Below are 26504 nucleotides of genomic sequence, written 5' to 3'. Positions count from 1 at the left end.
CTCCTGTTTAATAACCAAAAGGTTTTAGAGATAAGAAAAATAGAGCTAAGGGACAACTTAATAACTATCTCCAAAGTGGAGGAATATTTTTCAGAAAATGACAGAAGAATCATATCTAATAAAGGCATACAGGCAGAAGATGCAGCTCTTCATTTGCACTATAACACGCTGCCTTCAATTAGAATTTGAAGATGGAAGGGAGTTTCTTCGAGGACATTTAGATAGTATCTTATTACTCAGATGAGAAAACTGAGATGTAAAGTGCTAATAGGACTTATCCAAGACATCATGTCAAGTCAGTACAGAGGCTAGAATCCCAGTCTCCTCACTCCCAGACCAATAGCTTCCCAGTGGACTACATCTAAGGGAGCACTCAGAAAATTTAATCCGGATTGGCATTAGTTTAAGGCAAGCAAGCAAACAAATGCCACAGAGTAGCACTTCTATAGTGTCCCCTGGAGATGTTGTCAAAATGCAGATCCAGATTCAGCAGTTCTGAGATAGGGCCTGATATTCTGCATTTCTATCAAAATCCCAGTTGATTCTGGGGCTACTGACCCACAGATGACACTTTGCATAGCAAGGCTGTACAGCACCCTTAGAGCTGAGCAAAGCAGAAATAGGCCTAGATACATCCCTGTATCTAAAAAGGTAGGAAGCAAATGACAGAAGGGTAGCATGGTACAATGTGGCTGAAATCGCTGCTATGAAATCCTAATTCAAATGTTGTCTGTAGGTTATTCTAGTATCCATTGATATTTCCTCTCCCATGCCTGCTTCCATTATGTAGCCTAGTATTGTGAAATACTTACTTTCCCAGGATCCCTGACAGCTGAGGGTAGCCATGTGACTCAACTCTAGCCAATGAGACTAAAGCAAATGTCTGCTGGGGTCTTTTGGCGAAGGAAAAGCTTAGTTGCAGACAAGGCTAGTGCCACCCTTTCACTCTCCTTTCAGCCTTGAATGAGAACTTGATGCTTAGAATCTCAGCATCCATCTTGTTACCACAAGACAATAAACCTACATGCAAAGAATATCAGAGCAGGGCTGGGTGCGGTGGCTCATGCCTGTTATCCCAGCACTTTGGGAGGCTTCAAGGCCAGTGGATCACCTGAGGTCAGGAGTTCGCAACAAGCCTGGCCAACATGGTGGAACCCTGTCTCTACTAAAAATACAAAATTGGCTGGCGTGGTGGGGGGGGTGCCTGTAATCCTAGCTACTCTGGAGACTGAGACAGGAGAATCACTTGAACCTGGGAGACAGAGGTTGCAGTGAGCCAAGATCGCACCATTGCACTCTAGCCTGGGCGACAAGAGCAAAACACCGTCTCAAAAAAAAAAAAAAAAAAAAGAAAAGAAAAGAAAAGAAAAGAAAGAATATCAGAGCAGAAAGAAGAGCAAAAAGCAAGAGCACCAGCCTGGACTATCTGCCACCAGACTTCTGTGAAATAATCAAATGTTTGCATTGCTTACGCCATTCTGTTATTAGTCTAACTGAAGCATCTTCTAGTTAGATAGATGCTTCCTTTCTTTCCAGTCACTTCAACAGTCTAGTTTTGTCTTTACTCTCAATCCCTAGTCTTTAACACTCTATTTGTGTACTCTAGCAAAGGGGCTCATTAATTAATGAACTTCTGTCAAATGCGAGGGTTTTTGTTTTGTTTTGTTTTGTTTTGTTTTGTTTTGTTTGCCTTCATATTGTGTCAGTTGACTGTTGAGCACCCCTTCCTCTTTCGTCCACTGACTTACCCATTGCTGGTCTAGTCTGGTCCTCCTCTTCTGCCTCTACTACTTCTCTCTGACTCTTCTCCCTTTCTCCCCCACTTTTATGTGCAAAAACTTCCATCTTTGCCCCTATTTCCTTCCCACTCTTCATTATCTCCCTGCCTACTTTCATCAGTACCCACAGAGTCAACCACCTGCAACCATTCCCTTAATAGTAGTAAATAATAGCATGCATTTTTTCCAGAATGGTGATGTAAGCCGAAGTATAAAAAAAGCAGCGATGTAGCAAGAACTGGGCTTCCTTCTTACATGTAGCCAGACGCGACCTGAGGAGTATCTCTGGCAGAAGCATACTTCTTAGGGAACAAGGGCCAAGGGAAAAGTTATGCAAAAATATGCTACATTTGTTCCTGCTTACTGCAGCCACCACATTTCTTTTTTTGTCTGTTTTTGGTTTTTTGGGTTTTTGCCACCACATTTCTATTAAGTTGTGTGTCATTGGATAAATAGGGAATCTAAGTGTGTGTGTGTGTGTGTGTGTGTCTGTGTGTATTGCGGGTGTATAGTCACTTCCAGTACAGCCAAACTATCACCCCATCTGAGACACTACACACTTCATTTACGTCTCTAGTATGGAAATTATGACACTGTATTGAAGTTATTTGCTCATGTTTTTTGAATTCACTCCACTGAAATTCAGAAGCTGTCAGTCTTCAGTGCGTACATGTTAAAGAGAATGGACGCTTATTTGATGGGAGTACTTTAGGGCTATGGAGGACAAACGGCTTAACTGCATGAACTCTTAAGACCTCCTCTAGCCCTGTGATTTCCAGTGGTGCCACTTGTAGTTTGAGTGAGATATTACATTACATGTAAGTATTAAAATCACTTACCCTTATAGTATATGTTCTTCCTCCAACCCTGTCCCGAGCTTCTAAAACCAAAACACTAACGCCATATTCAGTCAAGAGTTTGGCAGCAGATAGTCCTAAAGGAAAAACAAAAAAGAGCAACGTAACATTCAAATGCTTAAAATCCAAGATTTAACCAGGTCTACACATCAAATAAATGCAGGGTATCATATACAATCCAATGATTTTGCTGTCTTTCTAATAAATTCTGACCACACTGTGATTAAGTGAGCCACCAATTTTTATTATCTGTCATAAGGGATTCAAAAATAACTAATTTAGTCATCTTGCATTTCAGTTGGTCAACAGAAACAAAATGTAATGGTCTTAAAATATATATATCTTGTTTTCTGGTGATAATCATATATTTAGAGAATTTTTGAGCCTCTAAATCAATCCCTATCATTTCCCTCATACAGAAATCCTGATAGTATTAACAGAAGAGACTATTTTCTTTAAAACTTCCTCTAGCTACACCAGGTCTCAGTATAGCTATGCTTTGCTTTTCTCAACTTAAAAATCCTGTATAATCATGTCCTATGATTTATATTTTGATTACATGCTTGCTAGATCTTGTTTCCTTCACTAGTTTCTAAGTTACCATAAGGTAGAAACCATGCTTCATACTTTTTTCACTAGCTCAAACAAAGCTGAGAACAGGTTTCCACCTGTAATTAAAAGCCTTCAGGATAGATAAAATATTTTTTAAACCCAACATAGTAATACCAGAAAAATTAAGGAAGTATTGCAGATTAACATTATATCAAGGGTGCATGCTACAAGCATGATTTATCACTGATGTTGACCTTGATCTGATCACCTGGCTGAGGTGGTGTTTGTCAAGTTTTTCCACTATAGTTATTCTTTTTCCCATCTTAACATACTGTAAAAGGCTATGCATAGCCTACACTTAAGGAGTGGGAAGTATGTTCCAGCTTTTTGAGGGTAGAGTATCCATATAAATTATTTGGAATTCTGCACTGGAGATGTGTCTCTTCTCCTCACTTACTGACTTTTTCAATCATTTACTTATTAATATATCAATATGGACTCGCAGATATTTGTTTTATACTTTGGATTATAATCCAACACTATGTCATTTATTTCGTTGCTCAAATTCTTCCAGCTATGGTTATTAGGAGTTCTGTTAGTTGGCTCCTATGCCCCTTTGACATGCCCCTATCATTTTGTGTGTGTGTTTAAACACTTCCTTCCTTTCTAGTACTACACAATGCTCCCGACTCATCTTATCTTTCTCTGCCACAGCCTTAGAATCAGGCATTTCTTCATTGAGCTTTGGTCCCTTTTACTGGAGAACAGTATTAGAAACCAAGATCTGGGTTCTAGGTGTGCTCATTGCTACTGGGGTGTCATTGCTTCTAAGACCTCTCAGCTCACAAAGAAATATAGGCCAGGCACGGTGGCTCACGCCTGTAATCCCAGCACTTTGGGAGGCCAAGGCAGGTGGATCACGAGGTCAAGAGATCGAGACCATCCTGGCTAAAATGGTGAAACCCCATCTCTACTAAAAATACAAAAAATTAGCTGGGCATGGTGGTGGGCACCTGTAGTCCCAGCTACTCGGGAGGCTGAGGCAGGAGAATTGCTTGAACCCGGGAGGCGGAGCTTGCAGTGAGCCGAGATCGTGCCACTGCACTCCAGCCTGGGCAACAGAGCAAGACTCCGTCTCAAAGAAAAAAAAAAAAAAATATATATATATATATAGTGCTATTGTGCATACATTTATTTTTAAATCCACATTCATTTTTGTACTTCAAATTCTGTCTTAGTTCCTAGTTAACTTTATACTTCTCATTATACTTCTCATAGACTTCTCATTATTACAGAGATAAACATAATACAGGGAGAAAATGCTAGTTATATTAGGGTAGAGGGAAATAAGAATGGCACCAGAGACAAGATTAGTAAAGTGATACAAATTATACCTAAATATGTATACAAGTGGTTGAGGAGGAGAACTATTCTAACTGATTTTAAAATACACGGATTTGATAGTTCATTTCTAATGGTATATATCCTAAAGATAAAAAAGAACTTCACATTTTTTTTCAATAACAATTTAGCTAGTCCTAGTATTAGCATTGTTATCCCAAGGCTGTTACATTTGTAGTATGTGATAAAACAAGTGAGTAATCAGGCTTGAGTTGCTGAGAAGCAGGTTTTTTAGCATGGAGATAAAGAAATTCAGATGTAAAAAATGATGAGATGAAGTAGTAACCCTGTAGTCCTAGATATAAATTGGAATTATAAGTATGATCTCTGGATATACTCTAACTTTAAAAAAAAATATTTCTTAGTTTTGTACAATGAAAAGGTCTAGAAAAAATAACCTACCCAGTAGCAATGAACACTCCCAACACTTACAGTGTTGTTTCTAAAAAATCAATTCTCACTACAATGAACTATGGCTTGTGACCTAGTGAGACCTGAGGCAGGAAATGTACAAGATGAGCCTGAACACTAAATCATACCAGAAAGCAAGAAGGCTGTCAGAGACTACTAGGATTCTGTCAAAAAGACTTAGGAGCCTACCTATATAAACTCCTACTGGCCAAAGATGAAATAATTTGAGTGTCAAATAAAGATAACAACTACAATGGCTTAAATCCATGAGTTCATAATAATACTAAACAAACACAAAAACTCTCATTTTCCACCTTTGGAAAATGCTAAGGAATCAACTTACCATTTTGAAAAATGGTAAGCAAAAGAAAAAATCTAGTATTCATCCTATGTTTCCTATTTGCGCTGAACCTCAAAACAACCAAATAGCTAATGAGGGGAAGTTTCTCTGTATAAAAGTATGCTAGTTAGTAAGTGAAGACAGAAATAATTCAAATGTCAGCATTTTGCAACCCCTAATGAATTAATGGATCTAGCATAATGATAATCAAGCTGCTAACACACACAGAAAAACAGATGAGACAAATGTTATCTGACTCTTGATGGAAGCACACACCATCACCTATGAAGTAGTTTTCCAAGAATGAAGAAAGGAGAGGGAATGGGAGGGGATGGAGGGGAGGAGAGGGGAGAAGGAAGGAAGGAACAAATTAAATTCTAATGTGATCAGCCCTCTGTATCTGATACTTAGGGGACAGAGGAACATGTTAAATAATACTACTGGGATGAAATGAACAAAATCCAAATTGTAAGAAATTATACAGGACTACCCTATTTTTTGTTTTTTTATTCCCTACTCATGCTCTCCTTCCCCTTTATCCTTCACGGGCTTTTCCCACAATAAATCTTTTAAACAGCTAGTTCTATCTTGATGCCTGCTCTCACAGAACCCAGTATTTTACTCATATACAGAATGTCATAGAATACACATAGCCAAATCAAGGATGAGTTTGGGTCTACAAGATCTAAAATATCTTAAAAGATATTAAGTCTAAACCATAATATCCAGCACTGCTATCTGCTAATGTTTGTGTGCAATTTTGAGCCCTTCAAGTACACTACTCTTACATTGCTGATGCCCATAAAAGATTTAAGTATGTAATGAATTTGTGGAATCAGCTCACAAAGAAAAGCCATCCCCTGACAGTTAAATAAACTCAAACCAATGTCTGCCAGTCTTGGCGCAATATGTTTTCTGGAACACAGCCAAAGTTTGTGCTGACTAATGTAAAAATGGGATGAAAGTGAGATGAAAAATATGTTTATGCATAAATCTTTCTCCTTATGTCTGATTATTTCTTTAGGGTTAAGTTCTAGAAGGGAGATTACTAAGTCGAAAGTGATGAGCATTTTTAGGCTCAAAGTAATACTCCATATTTAAAAACAGAGAAACTCAGATGCAAAAGTTTTATCTCTTCTCATTCCCTTTCATCAACCTAACTAAAAACCAGTTAGGTAGATAAATATACCCAAGGGTCTACTGGAATTGCTCTGGCAGCTCCTCTTGTAAGGAGGGGAAACTGGCTCTCCCCACACTGCCTAAGGGGATGGAGCGGTGGGGAACTTTGAACAACAGTGGTGGGGCCTGTAGCAGTTGTGTGCATAAAGGGACCTCTCAGTAGCATCCTATAGATTCATTTCATATGCCTTTCCTTGTTGCCTCTCACAACCATCCCTTGGAGTAGATTTCATTATCTCCATATTCCAAGTGCCTGATATGACCACAACAAAGTCTTCTGAAAAGCGAAGGATTTTCCTTCTCACACCCTCACTTAGAGTCTTAATAAAATCGAATCTAGTATGTAACTCTAAACAAGTTTTATGAATGGATTTCAGTGCCAATAATAAATAAACACTACTCAGGAAACTAAAAGGGGAGGGGGGAGCAGGGCTTCTGAGCCAATACAATGACCACACCAGTGACAAAGGTCATTTTGCAGTTTGGCATTTAAGGATATAACTAAATAAAATTTAAAAGCTGGTGAAAGTAGTTGTTTCTACATTGCAGAAAAACGATTGCCCTATCACAGCAAGGAGAGTTTAAATTCTTAGTTTAAGAAATAAGAAATATGTTTAAAATATTTAAAAAGGATTTCAGATAAATGGTTTCTAAAAGGTCTTAGAATTTGAAGGGTTAAGGTTTAAGTTATTTAGGAAAATCTACTATATTAAGCATATTTCTTCTAAGATGCTGAATAAATGGGTGCTAATGTTTCAGTTTGCATGTTTACTGGGAAGAAGACCCTGTTAAGGAATTTCCACGATAACTTAAAGGTTAAAATATATACAACATGAAAATAAAAGTATGATGCTGTTAGGAAAATATTTTTGAATGCTTAGTAAGTCAAAGTACAGGCAAACACTTGGAGCTCAGAAATCTTTTGTAATGTAATAACTGTGGCTATCTGCTGATTTGAATGGCAAAACCTAAAAATTATTCCTACTTTAAGATGTAAGTCTTGGATTATAACCAACTCTTTTTTGTACTTGTGTGTCACTCACTATGCATTCTACCCTTCCCTCATCACTACAAAATTCAATGATCAGTTATAGAAAAAAAATGATATCTTAATTGTCAACCCTACAGATTAGTTTAAGGGCTTTTGACCTAATCTTTCGAAATATTTATTGAGCATTTTTTTGTAAATGGGATAAAATTGTTAGAAAAGATTCTTAAGTCTGAAGGCAAGTCACCAAATAAAATGTGGCTACTATAAAGATAGCTTTTGTAATCAAATATTTTTTCACATTTTATTATGCAAAGAGAAAAATCTCATCTTAAATCTTTTATTTCATCTTGTTCCAAAGTAATATAAATTACTAAACAAAAATGAAGAGCATTATGCATTACAGCTCTCCCTTTCTTTTATTTTCCATCATTTAATGGCCACATAGAATCTAGTGATAAGAAGCCTGTTTCTCACCACTCCCCACCCGCATGATAAGGGAAGGGTTTGATACAGGTATGCCAGTAAATGATTAACAACCAGCCCAGCAGTGGGAAGCGGGGACTGTTTCACAGCATTTAGATTTCCATGGTGTATCTGTACCCTCATCATGGGTTTCAAACTACTAGTGTGATTTCAGGCTACTAACATTATTGTCTATTAAATCAGCAAGTGTTTATGATCATCATTGGGATGTAGGAGATGTGGAGCCATCTTGGTAAAAGACCACTGGGCCAAACTGTCAAGTATCCTAGTGTCAAAAATTTGTGATTCTCTCACCCATGTTTTTGAGAGAAGAGGTCTAAGTGAACACTAGCAAAATCTATCATCCCCTATACTCAGAGTTCTTCCTCTCCTAAACCATGGCAAACAGAGCTCATTAGGAAGAAAAGAGCCCAAGACTCCTGAGTATCCTGTGGTTTTCTATGAGAGTAGAGAGGTCAGAGAAACTACATTCACAAAGAGTTTGTTAAGGCCTTATTGTGTGAACAAGGAGATATGATAGATTTCAAAATGCAAAAACTTGAAAACAGGAAAATAGCAGATCATAGCACAAGCAGATCTTTAATTAGTTTGCATTAAGTATTCTAAATCGGGATGATGAGTTTAAAACAATACAATTCCTCTCCTAATTTCTCTCTCCTCAGTAATTTGCAATTTACAGAAACCAAAATAAAATAGGTTGATGGATTTATCAGAGAGGTTAAAAAAAAAAAGCTAGTCTGCTAAAAGCACACTTTGTTTAAGGGAGTTCAAGGCAATGTGGGTCCTGGTTATTAGATCAAGAGAGCCTGGGTGAGATGTTGTATGCAGCCAGCAGTGGTGTTACCATGGCAACCTCAAAACAAGCTTCAGGTTCTTAAAGCAACTGCCCATAGAAACTGTGTTACCACCAATTCTGCAATGCTTCCAACAACCCAAAATGGTTGCTGTCCCCAGAGAACTGGTATAGGAGATGATTTTATCCACATAGCATACCTTGGGAGTTAATTTGTGCAATGAAGCTTTTGAGGAAATAATCCCTTTGCTTCCCAGGGCATAAATCTCAGGCATACTGTCACTTTGGAACCTAGCTTCCACACTTAGCCCTGCCTTCTCCACCTCTCCCAGGGCCATTTGCTTTACCTTATTTCTTCAAGAATATTCACATTATTCTATCACAGAAAAGTAAGAAATTCCTCAATTAGACTCATGCCACCCTTTTCAGCTCCTATGTGATTTCTGATTTTCTTTCTACAACACATGATCAGATGTCTCCATTTCCTAACTTGAATAAACCTGGAAATGTAGTGTACTCCTCATAAAAAATGCCCAGTGACCCCACCATCAATGCAGACAATCAATATAGTCATCTGTCACACTCTGTCCCTGCTACCCTGAATTTATTTTTCTTCTTAGTACACATTACTACCTGGCACTACACACACACACACACACACACACACACATTTTTTGTATGTTATTTAATTAAGCCTACACGAAAATAGGGTCTTTGCTCATTTTTGCTTATTGCTGTATCTCCAGAGCCTAGCATAGTACCTGGCATGCAGTGGACACTCAGGAAATATTTGTTGAAATAATTTATTAATGAATGAATAGAGTTTATAAAACTTCAGAGACTGGAGGGCAGCCAAGATGGCCGAATAGGAACAGCTCTGGTCTACAGCTCCCAGCATGAGCGATGCAGAAGACGGGTGATTTCTGCATTTCCATCTGATGTACTGGGTTCATCTCACTAGGGAGTGCCAGACAGTGGGCGCAGGACAGTGGGTGCGGTGCACCGTGCGCGAGCCAAAGTAGGGTGAAGCATTGCCTTACTCGGGAAGTGCAAGGGGTCAGGGAGTTCCCTTTCCTAGTCAAAGAAAGGGGTGACAGACGGCACCTGGAAAATCGGGTCACTCCCACCCTAATACTGCGCTTTTCTGACGGGCTTAAAAAACGGCACACCAGGAGATTAAATCCCGCACCTGGCTCAGAGGGTCCTACGCCCATGGCGTCTTGCTGATTGCTAGCACAGCAGTCTGAGATCAAACTGCAAGGTGGCAGTGAGGTTGGGGGAGGGGCACCCGCCATTGCCCAGGCTTGCTTAGGTAAACAAAGCAGCCGGGAAGCTTGAACTGGGTGGAGCCCACCACAGCTCAAGGAGGCCTGCCTGCCTCTGTAGGCTCCAACTCTGGGGGCAGGGCACAGACAAACAAAAAGACAGCAGTAACCTCTGCAGACTTAAATGTCCCTGTCTGACAGTTTTGAAGAGAGTAGGGGTTCTCCCAGCACACAGCTGGAGATCTGAGAATGGGCAGACTGCCTCCTAAAGTGGGTCCCTGACCCCTGACCCCCGAGCAGCCTAACTGGGAGGCACCCCCCAGTAGAGGCAGACTGACACCTCACAAGGCCGGGTACTCCTCTGAGACAAAACTTCCAGAGGAACGATCAGACAGCAGCATTCGTGGTTCACGAAAATCCGCTGTTCTGCAGCCACTGCTGCTGATACCCAGGCAAACAGGGTCTGGAGTGGACCTCTAGCAAACTCCAACAGACCTGCAGCTGAGGGTCCTGTCTGTTAGAAGGGAAACTAACAAACAGAAAGGACATCCACACCAAAAACCCATATGTACATCACCATCATCAAAGACCAAAAGTAGATAAAACCACAAAGATGGGGAAATAACAGAACAGAAAAACTGGAAACTCTAAAAAGCAGAGTGCCTCTCCTCCTCCAAAGGAACGCAGTTCCTCACCAGCAACGGAACAAAGCTGGACAGAGAATGACTTTGACGAGTTGAGCGAAGAAGGCTTCGGACGATCAAACTACTCCGAGCTACAGGAGGAAATTCAAACCAAAGGCAAAGAAGTTAAAAACTTTGAAAAAAATTTAGACAAATGTATAACTAGAATAACCAATACAGAGAAGTGCTTAAAGGAGCTGATGGAGCTGAAAGCCAAGGCTCGAGAACTACGTGAAGAATGCAGAAGCCTCAGGAGCCGATGCGATCAGCTGGAAGAAAGGGTATCAGTGATGGAAGATGAAATGAATGAAATGAAGCGAGAAGGGAAGTTTAGAGAAAAAAGCATAAAAAGAAACGAACAAAGCCTCCAAGAAATATGGGACTATGTGAAGAGACCAAATCTGATTGGTGTACCTGAAAGTGACGGGGAGAATGGAACCAAGTTGGAAAACACTCTGCAGGATATTATCCAGGAGAACTTCCCCAATCTAGCAAGGCAGGCCAACATTCAGATTCAGGAAATACAGAGAACACCACAAAGATACTCCTCAAGAAGAGCAACTCCAAGACACATAATTGTCAGATTCACCAAAGTTGAAATGAAGGAAAAAATGTTAAGGGCAGCCAGAGAGAAAGGTCGGGTTACCCACAAAGGGAAGCCCATCAGACTAACAGCGGATCTCTCGGCAGAAACTCTACAAGCCAGAAGAGAGTGGGGGCCAATATTCAACATTCTTAAAGAAAAGAATTTTCAACCCAGAATTTCATATCCAGCCAAACTAAGCTTCATAAGTGAAGGAGAAATAAAATACTTTACAAACAATCAAATGCTGAGAGATTTTGTCACCACCAGGCCTGCCCTAAAAGAGCTCCTGAAGGAAGCACTAAACATGGAAAGGAACAACCGGTACCAGCTGCTGCAAAATCATGCCAAAATGTAAAGACCATTGAGACTAGGAAGAAACTGCATCAACTAACGAGCAAAATAACCAGCTAACATCATAATGACAGGATCAAATTCACACATAACAATATTAACTTTAAATGTAAATGGACTAAATGCTCCAATTCAAAGACACAGACTGGCAAATTGGATAAAGAGTCAAGACCCATCAGTGTGCTGTATTCAGTAAACCCATCTCACGTGCAGAGACACACATAGGCTCAAAATAAAAGGATGGAGGAAGATCTACCAAGCAAATAGAAAACAAAAAAAGGCAGGGGTTGCAATCCTAGTCTCTGATAAAACAGACTTTAAACCAACAAAGATCAAAAGAGACAAAGAAGGCCATTACATAATGGTAAAGGGATCAATTCAACAAGAAGAGCTATCTATCCTAAATATATATGCACCCAATACAGGAGCACCCAGATTCATAAAGCAAGTCCTGAGTGACCTACAAAGAGACTTAGACTCCCACACAATAATAATGGGAGACTTTAACACCCCACTGTCAACATTAGACAGATCAACAAGACAGAAAGTTAACAAGGATATCCAGGAATTGAACTCAGCTCTGCACCAAGTGGACCTAATAGACATCTACAGAACTCTCCACCCCAAATCAACAGAATATACATTCTTTTCAGCACCACACCACACCTATTCCAAAATTGACCACATAGTTGGAAGTAAAGCTCTCCTCAGCAAATGTAAAAGAATAGAAATTATAACAAACTGTCTCTGAGACCACAGTGCATTCAAACTAGAACTCAGGATTAAGAAATTCACTCAAAACCACTCAAGTACATGGAAACTGAACAACCTGCTCCTGAATGACTACTGGGTACATAACAAAATGAAGGCAGAAATAAAGATGTTCTTTGAAACCAACAAGAACAAAGACACAACATACCAGAATCTCTGGGACACATTCAAAGCAGTGTGTAGAGGGAAATTTATAGCACTAAATGCCCACAAGAGAAAGCAGGAAAGATCCAAAATTGACACCCTAACATCACAATTAAAAGAACTAGAAAAGCAAGAGCAAACACATTCAAAAGCTAGCAGAAGGCAAGAAATAACTAAAATCAGAGCAGAACGGAAGGAAATAGAGACAACAAAAAAAAAAACCCTTCAAAAAATTAACGAATCCAGGAGCTGGTTTTTTGAAAGGATCAACAAAATTGACAGACCGCTAGCAAGGCTAATAAAGAAAAAAAGAGAGAAGAATCAAATAGATGCAATAAAAGATGATAAAGGGGATATCACCACTGATCCCACAGAAATACAAACTACCATCAGAGAATACTACAAACACCTCTATGCAAATAAATTAGAAAATCTAGAAGAAATGGATAAATTCCTTGACACATACACCCTCCCAAGACTAAACCAGGAAGAAGTTGAATCTCTGAATAGACCAATAACAGGATCTGAAATTGTGGCAATAATCAATAGCTTACCAACCAAAAAGAGTCCAGGACCAGATGGATTCACAGCCAAATTCTACCAGAGGTACAAGGAGGAACTGGTACCATTCCTTCTGAAACTATTCCAATCAATAGAAAAAGAGAGAATCCTCCCTAACTCATTTTATGAGGCCCGTATCATCCTGATATCAAAGCCGGGCAGAGACACAACCAAAAAAGAGAATTTTAGACCAATATCCTTGATGAACATTGATGCAAAAATCCTCAATACTGGCAAACCGAATCCAGCAGCACATCAAAAAGCTTATCCACCATGATCAAGTGGGCTTCATCCCTGGGATGCAAGGCTGGTTCAATATACTCAAATCAATAAATGTAATCCAGCATATAAACAGAACCAAAGACAAAAACCACATGATTATCTCAATAGATGCAGAAAAGGCCTTTGACAAAATTCAAGAACACTTCATGCTAAAAACTCTCAATAAATTAGGTATTGATGGGACGTATCTCGAAATAATAAGAGCTATCTATGACAAATCCACAGCCAATATCATACTGAATGGGCAAAAACTGGAAGCATTCCCTTTGAAAACTGGCACAAGACAGGGATGCCCTCTCTCACCACTCCTATTCAACATAGTGTTGGAATTTCTGGCCAGGGCAATTAGTCAGGAGAAGGAAATAAAGGGTATTCAATTAGGAAAAGAGGAAGTCAAATTGTCCCTGTTTGCAGACGACATGATTGTATATCTAGAAAACCCCATTGTCTCAGCCCAAAATCTCCTTAAGCTGATAAGCAACTTCAGCAAAGTCTCAGGATACAAAATCAATGTACAAAAATCACAAGCATTCTTATATACCAATAACAGACAAACAGAGAGCCAAATCACGAGTGAACTCCCATTCACAATTGCTTCAAAGAGAATAAAATACCTATGAATCCAACTTACAAGGGATGTGAAGGACCTCTTCAAGGAGTACTACAAACCACTGCTCAATGAAATAAAAGAGGATACAAAGAAATGGAAGAACATCCCATGCTCATGGGTAGGAAGAATCAATATTGTGAAACCGGCCATACTGCCCAAGGTAATTTATAGATTCAATGGCATCCCCATCAAGCTACCAATGACTTTCTTCACATAATTGGAAAAAACTACTTTAAACTTCATATGGAACCAAAAAAGAGCCTGCATCGCCAAGTCAATCCTAAGCCAAAAGAACAAAGCTGGAGGCATCACACTACCTGACTTCAAACTATACTACAAGGCTACAGTAACCAAAACAGCATGGTACTGGTACCAAAACAGAGATATAGATCAATGGAACAGAACAGAGCCCTCAGAAATAATGCCGCATATCTACAACTATCTGATCTTTGACAAACCTGACAAAAACAAGCAATGGGGAAAGGATTCCCTATTTAATAAATGGTGCTGGGAAAACTGGCTAGCCATATGTAGAAAGCTGAAACTGGATCCCTTCCTTACACCTTATACAAAAATTAATTCAAGATGGATTAAAGACTTAAACGTTAGACCTAAAACCATAAAAACCCTAGAAGAAAACCTAGGCATTACCATTCAGGACATAGGCATGGACAAGGACTTCATGTCTAAAACACCAAAAGCAGTGGCAACAAAAGCCAAAATTGACAAATGGGATCTAATTAAACTAAAGAGCTTCTGCACAGCAAAAGAAACTACCGTCAGAGTGAACAGGCAACCTACAGAATGGGAGAAAATTTTTGCAACCTACTCATCTGACAAAGGGCTAATGTCCAGAATCTACAATGAACTCAAACAAATTTACAAGAAAAAAACAAACAACCCCATCAAAAAGTGGGTGAAGGACATGAACAGACACTTCTCAAAAGAAGACATTTATGCAGCCAAAAAACACATGAAAAAATGCTCACCATCACTGGCCATCAGAGAAATGCAAATCAAAACCACAATGAGATACCATCTCACACCAGTTAGAATGGCAATCATTAAAAAGTCAGGAAACAACAGGTGCTGGAGAGGATGTGGAGAAATAGGAACACTTTTACACTGTTGGTGGGACTGTAAACTAGTTCAACCCTTGTGGAAGTCAGTGTGGCAATTCCTCAGGGATCTAGAACTAGAAATACCATTTGACCCAGCCATCCCATTACTGGGTATATACCCAAAGGACTATAAATCATGCTGCTATAAAGACACATGCACACATATGTTTATTGTGGCACTATTCACAATAGCAAAGACTTGGAACCAACCTAAATGTCCAACAATGATAGACTGGATTAAGAAAATGTGGCACATATACACCATGGAATACTATGCAGCCATAAAAAATGATGAGTTCTTTGTAGGGACATGGATGAAATTGGAAATCATCATTCTCAGTAAACTATCGCAAGGACAAAAAACCAAACACCGCATGTTCTCACTCATAGGTGTGAATTGAACAATGAGAACACATGGACACAGGAAGGGGAACAACACACTCTGGGGACTGTTGTGGGGTGGGGGGAGGGGGGAGGGATAGCATTAGGAGATATACCTAATGCTAAATGACGAGTTAATGGGTGCAGCACACCAGCATGGCACATGTATACATATGTAACTAACCTGCACATTGTGCACATGTACCCTAAAACTTAAAGTATAATAATAATAAAATAAAAATTAAATACATAAAACTTCAGAGACTGCAATTGAAAAACACTCACAAATTCAATGGTATGTATGCCTACTGAAGGCATTCACAGTTTAAAAACAAACAAAACAAAACAAAAATCCCATAATGAATTGGCCAAACAAAACATTCCTGGGGCAGGCTCTGGATTTATTCTCCTAGTATTATGTGGAAGAGCTCCTGCTATAGAGCTAGTGCAATTTGAAATCACATTTTATTATTTACTGTGTGATAATCTTAAGAAAGTTTCTTCAGCCTATTGCCACAGCTATAAAACAGAGATAATAATTGTTCTGCCTTGGTGGGTAATGTGAAGATTAAACAAGGTAACATGTATAATTACTCAGCCAAGTGACTGATGCCTGGTAAATATACCATTAGTATGAGCTATCATCATCACCATTATCCTTAAGGTCACTGATGACCTCCTTTTTTCTAAGCCTCATGGTTTTGTCTCAATCCTTAAACTCCTTTATGCTATGGTTGGTATTGTTGATCATGTATTTCTCTAAATCTGTGTTTCCCAGAGGGCGATCTGTGGAAAAGTACTTCTTTGAGGATGTACACAGAATTTGTCAACATTGTTCAGTAAGATAAACACATTCTCAAGTTCATTGTGTTCCAGATTACAATAAAGGTAAAAAAAAGGTGCTATGGAGGTCCTTAAGCCAGCTTGCCTGGAGTGATTTAGGAGAGCTTCCAGAGCTTTTGGAGTGATTGGCTTGAACACTATGCTTAATGGTGAAACAACAGTAGCATTAAAATCAGAAACAAGGTAGAAATTCCACCATTACCAATTTTATTTAACATTATTGGGCAAGTACTAATCAATGCCATTAGATAAGGGTGAAACGAGGCATAAAAATTAGAGAAGAGAGAAAATTATCATAGTGGATGGATAGTGGAAACTTAGCCTGGAAAATTGATGAGAAGGAATGAATAAATGAATGAAAGAAAAACAAAAAGAAAATTCAAGGAATAAGGTGTCTAGTTTAAAAATTATTATTATTTTTTTCGAGATGGAGTCTTGCTCTTTTGCCCAGGCTGGAGTGCAGTGGTACGGTCTCAGCTCACTGCAATCTCTGCCCCCTGGGTTTAAGTAATTCTCTTGCCTCAGCCTCCCAAGTAGCTGGGATTACAGGTGCACACCACCACGCCAGGGTATTTTTTTTTTTTTTTGTATTTTTAGTAGAGACGGGGTTTTACCATGTTGGCCAGGTTGGTCTCGAACTCCTGATCTCATGATCCGCCCGCCTCAGTCTCCCAAAGTGCTGGGATTACAGCTGTGAGAACCATGCCCAGCCAAAATTAATATTAAAAGATAAATATCTACCCTATGTACAATGAATTGGAATATGATGGAAAAAAATAAGCTCACTTCTTAGAGCAACATCAACTCAACAAGAGCTCTGAAAAATAAACCTGAAAAATATCCTCAAAATCACCAAAAGACACAATAGAAGATTTGAACAGAAAAATAGTTTTTATTTTTTGATAAAAGGAAATAGTATTATAAAGACCTTAATTCCTCCAAATAAATCTACAAATGTAATGAAATCTCAATTAAAATATTAGTAACTTTTTCTTTATATTAGAAAGCCTGATTCTAAAGTTCACATGGAAAAATAGCATGGCCAGCTTGCCAGGAAATTCCTGAAAAAGCATTATAACTAGCTCAACTTTTCATTAAAATGTATGACAAAGCTACAGTAGAAAGAGTTGTGCTGGTACAAGATTAGAGAGACAGAGAAATAAGAGCATATGGTCTAGAAATAGCCTAAATTATACAAATCAGTAGGTAAATCCTGGTTTAGTCAATAAATTGTGTTGAGACATCTGATTTGGGGAAATCTAAAAAGTAAAGCAGAATCTCTCTCTAACTCTTTACTCAGAATAAACTCAGAAGATTTAAATGCATAACATAAAAACCTTAAAAAACTAGAATAAAGTAAGGCAGATTTTTCTAAAGTAATATTCTTGGAATAAAGAATGCTTTCTGTGCAAGACACAAAACCCAGAAGCCATAAAAAGAAAATATTTGCAACATTCAACAAAGAGTTCATTTCTTCAAAATATAAAAAGTTCTCACAAGTCAATAAGGAAAAATGACCAGACATGCTTTTAAAATAGGTTAAAAAAATGTGAACATAAACTTTTACAGAAGAAATGTAAATGCCTTTCAATGAAAAATTGTTCAATCTCACTCATAACTGGAGAAATATAAAAATAAGGTACCATTTTGGCTTATTGGGTTGAAGAATGAAAATAGTTAAAACATAGTATTGACATGGATGCAGAAAAACAGATTCTGTCTTACACTGTTGGTGGCAAAGTAAAGTGATTCAACCTTGTTGTCATTAGCTATCAAAACTGTAAATGGACCTCCCTTTGATCCAGCAATTACAATCCTAGCAAGCTCTCTTACATATAAACTTACCTATGTGCTCCAAGAGCTACATACAAGGATGTGGTAGAGGCATTCTTTGAAATACTATACAACTATTAAAAAGTATGAAAGTTCTTTGAAATAAATAAGGTAAAATAAGCAAAGTTGAGATTCCCTGTATATAGTATAGGCCCATTGTAGAATAGCAAAAAATGTATATACTTCATACTTGCACAGTAAATATCTGAAAGGATACACAATAAACTATCATAGCAGTTATTTTTGGGTTATAGTGCTTGGGGCTGAAGTGGAATGAAGAGTCATCTTTCAATATACACTCACTTGAATGTACTGCATATATATGTTTCCTGTAGAACATCACTGTGTTTGCAAAGAGAAAACTAGTACACACAAACATTAAGAATTTTTTGCTACCCCAAATTATTTTTCCCCTTAAAATGTTTCAAATACAGCCTACAGATATATGAAATGTGGGCTGTCTTCATGAGAAGCATCTAAGGCATGGATAACAATGGAATCTTTCTGCAAGTACATATACTTACCCCTTCACAAGTATCATAAACCTAGCTAAAGTCATTCCTTCATCTATTCACCCATCAAATAATATTGCACTCTTACTGAGTCCCGGGCATCATCCTAGGTGCTGTGATACAGGTGAATATAACTAAGTCCTCATGAAGCTTACACTTTTATGGGAAAGAGAGACAAATAAAGGAATAAATATTACGATTAAGTGATTAGGAACTATTAAGGAAATATTAAGTGCTATGAAGATAAATAAAGCAGAGTAAGGGGAGAGTGAGCCATGGAAGTGGGGAGTGCTTTTACACAGGATCATCAGTGAATGCATCTGAGAGGTGACATTAAAGCAGAGATCTTTTTTTATATATATACTTTAAGTTCTAGGGTACATGTGCACAATGTGCAGGTTTGTTACATATGTATACATGCACCAGGTTGGTGTGCTGCACCCATTGACTCGTCATTTACATTAGGTATATCTCCTAATGCTATCCCCCCCGCCCCCCACCCCATGACAGACCCTGGTATGTGATGTTCCCCTTCCTGTGTCCAAGTGTTCTCATTGATCAATTCCCACCTATGAGTGAGAACAAAAGCAGAGATCTTAATGAAGTAAGGAAGTGAGCCATGCAAGTATATGGGGAAGATAGGAAAAAGGCCGATGTGCTCAAAGACCAGTAAGGCTAGCACAGCCAAAAGGAAATTAGTGAGGAGAATATGAGACTAGAAAAGTAAGAAGAGACTAAGTGACAGAGTGTCTTGTAGACCACATCAAAACTCTAGGTTTTGGTCTAAGTATGATGGGGGCTACTGGAGGCTTATGAGTAGGGGAGTGATTCACCTTATTTTAACTTTTTTAAAGATCATCCTGGTTTCTGTGAGGAAAGCAGACTGTAGTGGGGCAAAAGAGGAAGGAAGTACAGAGACTAGTAAAGAGGCAGATCTCTGGCCAAGAGATCATGGTGGCTTGGACAAAGGCAAAAGACCACAACGGCTTGGGTGGGGATAACTGTGGTTGCAGTTGTTGTGGGAAGCCGTGAGATACAGAACATATTTTGAGGCTACAGCCAATAGGATTTGCTGCTGGAATGGATGTGGTGTATGACAAAAAGAGAGGAACCAAGAATGGATTCAAGGTTTTTAACCTGAGCAACTGGTTAAATAGAGGTACCATTTATTAAGTTGGAAACAGCCAGGGGAAGAAGAGTTATGGGGAAATATCAAGTGTCTTGTTTTAGATGCATTAATCTTGAGATGCATAAATGAGCTATATGTGTGTTATGAAAAAACAGAAATGTGTTACAAATCTTTGCATCCCTAGGATGGAGCCTGCACGTTGCAGTGCCCAAATGCTTGTTGCAATGAATAGAAGAACCACATACTAAGAAAACAAAATCATGCTTATGTGGATGAGGGCAACAGGGAAGTTTCTAATGCTACCTAGAATATATTTATCTCAAGCAACTAAGAAACATTGACAAGGATACGGTGGCATGTCATTTTAACCTTTACGCCTAAGTAAGTCAGCAGATTCTAAATACTGCTAGCACATTCTCTGATCTTTGAACCAGCATTGTGCTTTTTGGCAGAAGACAACAGAGAATATCAATATACACACAAACTTGCCCTTGATATATAAAACCATTCCTATCTATCTATCTATCTATCTATCTATCTATCTATCTATCTATCTAATCTATACCTATGCCTATCTGTATTTTGTACTTCCTTTCAGATACATAATTCTCTGCTTTAGGAAAGGCCAAATCTTCTAATCCCCTTGATAGGCTAAAAAAGATAGGGCTGTCTCAAGTAATAAACAGATGAAAGCTAACAATTAACTTCAATTTGCCCTGAATTCAACAGACTGGTTGTCTAGACAGTCCTAATTTATTTGATTATTGTTCCGCATTCATCTTCACTTTAGATAAAAGGATCTCACCCAAGTTAGGGAATGCAATTACCCCTTAATTCATTATTCGCCCCAATCTTTCATTGAAACTTAAAATGCACCAGGGACACTCCATATTGCTGTCCTTGGACTCTGCACACTAGGATGGGCTGTAGTTCCCTAAATGTTTTACGGAACATGAGTCCTCAAGAAAGATGCTCTGGGGAGAAGTATCAATGTTCATGGAAGTTGAGACACCATATACTGTTTCTCCTTCTGGGAAATGCCTGGTGCACACTGGCATATGGTCCTGAGAAGTCCTGCAGCAAAAAGACCCATTTAACTCAGCATTTATCCACCCTCTGCTTTTTAAAAAAATGTATACCTGAAAACACACTTTAGGAAAGCTTGTTTAATCTCTCATAAGATTGATTGTTCAAATAGCATAATAAACTCCCAAAGGCAAGGTCCTAGGTGAACAATGCCCAGAGCACAAGCTGAGCATGTTGGAGCAAGGTTTTAGTGTAGCTATGGTGTATACCTGCCTAGTTCTTTCTCTTTATTCCCGAAAGTGACATCTTTCTTCAACTTTGATATGCATCATCACCTAGGAATTGCACAGAGTACACTGCATGATACATTGTTAATTCTCTATTATTCAGTGAAGTGGTCTCTGGCCAAAAGAATTCTTACATAACTGCACATTTGGACTCTTGGACTGAACACTCCAAGGGCAATAAAAAGTATAGTCAAATATCAACTCATATTGCCTCATTTTTGAGGCAATCAGATTTCATCAGATTTTCGAAGAGGCATTTTATTTTTGAGGCAATATGCCCAAAGCAGAGAAGCGAGAGCAAACCCCACAAATTTTACTCAAGGCATACAGTGATGCACAATTGACAAATATTTACTGAATGAATGAACAGATACATACAAGCAAGAAAATGGTCTTCAACTTAGGCCACAGCTCCAAGCTAACTCATTTAATCTGGAAACGGTCACCTTAAAGGTCATCTTCATTACATTTCAGAATTTATCCAAAATCTATGACACTTCTGTCGAGTATGACTTCCTCCATGAAATCCTTTCCTTGTCACTTCCTCCAGGTGGAATTAACTCCTCCCTCCTCTGTGCTGACATTGGACCTCTGAACCAACTTTGAAGAGCATTTCAGGCTCATCTCTGTAACCCCTGTGACACAGAGGTTACACAGATTCTATGCCTCACACAAGTCACTGAATAGACGATGGGCTAATGATACTTTAAATAAACAATCTTTGAAAACTACTAAAAGAAATCTCAACCACCACAGCCTTCCATTTCCTTCACCAATGTTTTCTCCCAAATTCTTTCTTTTCAAAACATGTCAATTTCACTTCTCTAGTTATCATAGAGCTAATATAGCAAATGTAGGTGCCTTCGTGTCCAGCCTGAATGTTTTGACTCTTCATCATGGTCTATTTAAAAATTCATTACTAGTAACTGTCTAATGATATAATGAATCCTCTGAAATATTTTTCACCACTTTCGTGAAGTCTCAGTATCAGCTAAAAATAATTACACTATTAGGACAGTGACGCAGAAGAGGTTTCCAGAACATTGGCCTGGTGCAGAGGAGAAAAACATCTATGCGTAAAAATACGCATTTTTTGGTGAAACGTCCAATAGCTTTCATCAGATTTTCCAAGAGACATTTGGTCCAAAAGGTCAAGAATCACTGATCTAAACTATCCCAACAATCTCTACATATCCTAAATGCACCAGGAATGGCCTTTCCAACAAGGAAATAGATTTGTCATATGAAAGTCATTTTATTTAATAGGGTGTCCCATATTTTTAAATTTAAATGTTCAGAAAGCAATAACATTCCTTGTGATATCTTATAATATATAAATTACTGTTAAGCAGTAGTCACTATGCTTTAGAGCATCAACGTTCAAAGTAAAGCAATAATAAGGTTTACTGCAGATCTATGGATGAGCTGACAAAGCAGGTCCAGTGAGGTGAGGTACAGAAAGAGCACTGTCCTGGAAGTCAGTATTTTACGCATCCAAGGACAAGTTAAACAGCTAAGAATTTTGTGGCATTTGGTAATTCCCTGGACCCCTCTGAGCCTCTGTTTCAGTCCCTTTGGGCTCTTACAGGCCACCATTCTATAACCCTTGGACATGGTTAATATATAATTACTTCAACTCTTAAATCTTATCATCTGTTTTTTATGTTCTTAACACTCTTAGTCAATCAATTAAATATTGTTATTGAGTGTGCTTTGTTTACTTTTGCCTAGCAACAACTAGAAAAGGGTTTTAAACAAAGTCTCAGAGAAGCCATGGGGAAAGTGTGAATGAGCACCTGTGGAGAGACCCAGGCCCTGATTCAAGTTTGTGAAGAATGTCAGTATGACAGATAATGCAAACTCTTCCCAGAATAAAGCATAGAAGAAAAAAACGTTGAGGAGGGTCCAAGAAAGAAAGCTAAAGAGACGGATCTTCATGAAATTGACTAATTACTAAAAATCCATACCAGAAGATATATCACATATAACTTAATCCAACTTCTTGGATGACAAAACCATAGTTCAAAGACTTTAAATTTCCCTAATACACAATGACAGATGGCAACATAACAAGAAATAGATTGTTTGAAGGAAAATACAAATTGCTGGTAAAAATATAAAATATTTGTCATGATAAAGGAGGAGAAACAGTCCCAACAATCAATTTGTCTCAAATGCTCACAACATTTAGAAAATGTTTTGATTCAATTTTTGAAGTTCTAATTACAATGAAAAAAAAAACCCTATCATTATGAAATCTATACATCTCCTACATACAAGTATATTCCTTAACAACTATTTATCGGGTGTCTACACTTTCTAAATCACAGGGCTGGGCACCCTATATGTAATATAAAACTAGAATACAACCTTAGTCTTTCTGAGTACACTTGAATGCAAATACTGCAAGATTTTTCATAGGTTAAAATATTTCTATGCCATAACTGCACAAAGATTGTGACCCAATATTCACCAATAATGGTGTTCCATGTTTCTTTTTCTCCATTATTGGTCTCTGTAATGTATGCAATTATGCTATACCTAGATCTATTGTTAAATACATTTTTCACAATAGCTGAGGATTATGTAACAATTCAAATCAATTAGTATTGACTAAATGCTAAAATTTCCCATTTAATGCCAGATAAATCCAAAAGCTCCTTCAACCATGAAGATTTCAAAAAAAAAAAATCAGAACACAAATAAATGTAATTCTTGTATTCTTTGTTTAGTATTTAAAAAGTTTATGAAGTAAAAACACCCTAGTTTATTTTTTAGAAAAATAAAATATAAATTAGGGGCAGAGAAGTGTCCTAAACAGCAAAAAATTAATGCTCAGCCCACATTGAACCTCAGAGTATTTAAATAACTAAGACACCAAAAATAAGTGGCATTTCTTAAATGGAAGCTTTTCTTAATCACTGCAAAACCACACAGTACATGCTGCCAAGTTCTGGGTTAAAATGCCTAAAATGGTCCTAGCAGAATAATTTTTACAGGTGATATATTTCAGCAAAAAGGGAAATTGTGGTATGTTGTGGACTCAATCATCGGAATGCTGAACATTAGTTATTTCTCTTGCAAAATGGCTTTTCTGTCTCTCAGAAGATAAGAAAAATTCATTCCTGCTGGTTTTATACAGCACTGAATTCTGGGCAGCTAGTGTTCTCAATTCTTTCAGCAGAGCTCAGCTGATGGACAAAAATAGAGAGGAGTTCTATTGCTTAAACACTATTTGGACATGAAGAGGTCTTTCTACGTGACACTTGGAATTTAATTGCAAAATAAAAAAAAATGAAGAAACACTTTATTCACCCAGGACAATCCAGTGTTATGACTAAGGCATTTTCACTGTGCGCTCGCTAACCATTCACAGCTCACACAGGAACAAAAATCATGGGTAGATGTGGCACACTGGGCTCATCTCAATAGCTACCAGGATCACATACCTAGAGGCATAGGAAACAACTATTTTCATTCCCTGGAACTCTCACCATTGGGAAATTAAGCACTGCTCATATCTGGCTTATACCCTCATGACTGTATCTGTGTTCCTCTAGTCTCTCCTGTATGGTATGTCTTTTTTTCCATCCTCTTATCTCTACCTGTTAAAATTCTACTTATCTCTCAAGATCCCTGCACTTTGTTCATATTCAAAACATTAATATTTATCTCACCACATTGATATTTATCTCACTATATTCATATCAATTATTATCTCACTGTATTCATGTCAATTATTCACCCACTTGATTACTTCTTCCAGAAGATAGAAGTACCTTATGTACAGGGATGCTACTTACTCATCATTATATATCTCTTTCTTTCCCCATGATCCCCAGTCACTGCTTAGTATATAGGTAGAGGTTCTTGAAATGCTTAAACAAGACAAGGAGCCAGAGCTACCTCTACTTGTAATGAGTTGCTTTGAGAGACCGAGCATTTCCTATCCTTAAATGCGTTCAAAGCTACAGCCATCTGGCTCTAATCACTAGCGAGGTGCTGTTAAGAAGATTAAAATCTTAGGTGATTGGACTAGATTGCCTTTTAAAACCCCTTTGACCCAAAGACTCAAATTCCAAACAGACTCATGAAGGAAGTATACATTGTCCCCTGGAGGTGGGCTTTTTTCTTGTTTCCTTTTTTTCTCTACTAAAGAGAACCATTTCAGAAATTCTCAGTTGAGGGCAGATTTAAAAATCTTCCACCGCTAGTTTTCTGTCATTTATTGTATCTGTGGCAGCTCATGAGTAAGAACTAACAACTGAATTCAGTGACTGAGCCATTATCCTTAAAATCAAATCATGAAATAAGAGATAGAAAATAAGTGTAAATTGTTTGTTAAGTACAGATTACAAGCTCTACAAGAGGAGAGAAAAATCAATGGGAGCCAGAGTGATCAAGGAAAGGATCTTCAGCCAAGCATTGAAGGATAGATAGAATATAAATGTAAGAGAAAAGCACTTCCATGTTAAGAAAGATAAAAACAGAAAAGGCATGAAGGGACTAAATAAACGTAGTGTAGCCTGAGGACACGAGGCGGTGAGACTAAAGCTCAGATCCATGTTGGAAAATAGTAGGAAATGCTACTTGTCATGATGGGGGGCGGGATAGGGAGGTGTTTGGGAGGCTGCTAATAGGAGACCATTGAAGGCCCTGAGCAGAGGGGCAAGGTGATGAAAGAAGTGTTTAAGAAAAATCAAGTTTGGGAGAACACTGAATGCAGGATGGACATAAAGGGAGAGCCATTATTGTAAAGGGTGGCCACTGGGAAGGGGGTCATAACCAGGTAGCTTCAGGGGTCAAGAGCTTTTGCAACAACATTGATGGAACTGGAGACCATTATCTTAAGTGAAACAACTCAGAAATAGAAAGTCCAATACCATATGTTCTCACTTATAAGTGGGAGCTAAATAATGTACACACACAGACATAGAGGTATGGAATAATAGACATTGGTGACTGGAAGGGTGTGGGGCAGGAGGAAGGAGGATGATGAGAAATTACCTAATGGGTACAACGTACATTATTCACGTTATGAATACACTAAAAGCCCAGACTTCACCACTATGCAATCTATCCATGTAACAAAATTGCAGTCGTATCCCTTACATTTATACAAAATACTTTTAAAAAAGAGTCTGTCCTGGTGATGGGGGGAGGGAGGTCATCATAGAGAAAGGAGAAGAGAGATAGCCCCAAAGAAGAGTGAGAAGGATCTGCTAAAAGGGTGCAGAAGATAAAAGAAAAGATTATGTCAAAAATTATAGAAGGGATGGTGGTGCTAAGAACAGAGTCAAGGAACTGAGGAAAAGAAGCTGGATTGGCTAGCAC

The 26504-nt window shown here is 38.3% G+C and overlaps 1 protein-coding gene across 2 annotated transcripts in view; it reads right to left on the bottom strand.

Moving 5' to 3' along the window:
- Positions 1-26504, bottom strand: part of MAOA (monoamine oxidase A) — a 91812-nt gene that overhangs the window by 60593 nt on the left and 4715 nt on the right. For both annotated transcript variants that reach the window (NM_001270458.2, NM_000240.4), the window contains one exon: positions 2618-2712. Coding sequence is in view for 1 of the 2 variants with exons in the window: in NM_000240.4 (NP_000231.1) it covers positions 2618-2712 (95 nt within the window). In the remaining variant the exon portion in view is untranslated. The remainder of the gene's footprint in view (positions 1-2617; positions 2713-26504) is intronic.

This window comes from Homo sapiens, chromosome X (assembly GCF_000001405.40).
Source record: "Homo sapiens chromosome X, GRCh38.p14 Primary Assembly".
Taxonomy (NCBI): Eukaryota; Metazoa; Chordata; class Mammalia; order Primates; family Hominidae; genus Homo; species Homo sapiens.
This window is presented reverse-complemented; position numbering and strand designations above follow the sequence as displayed.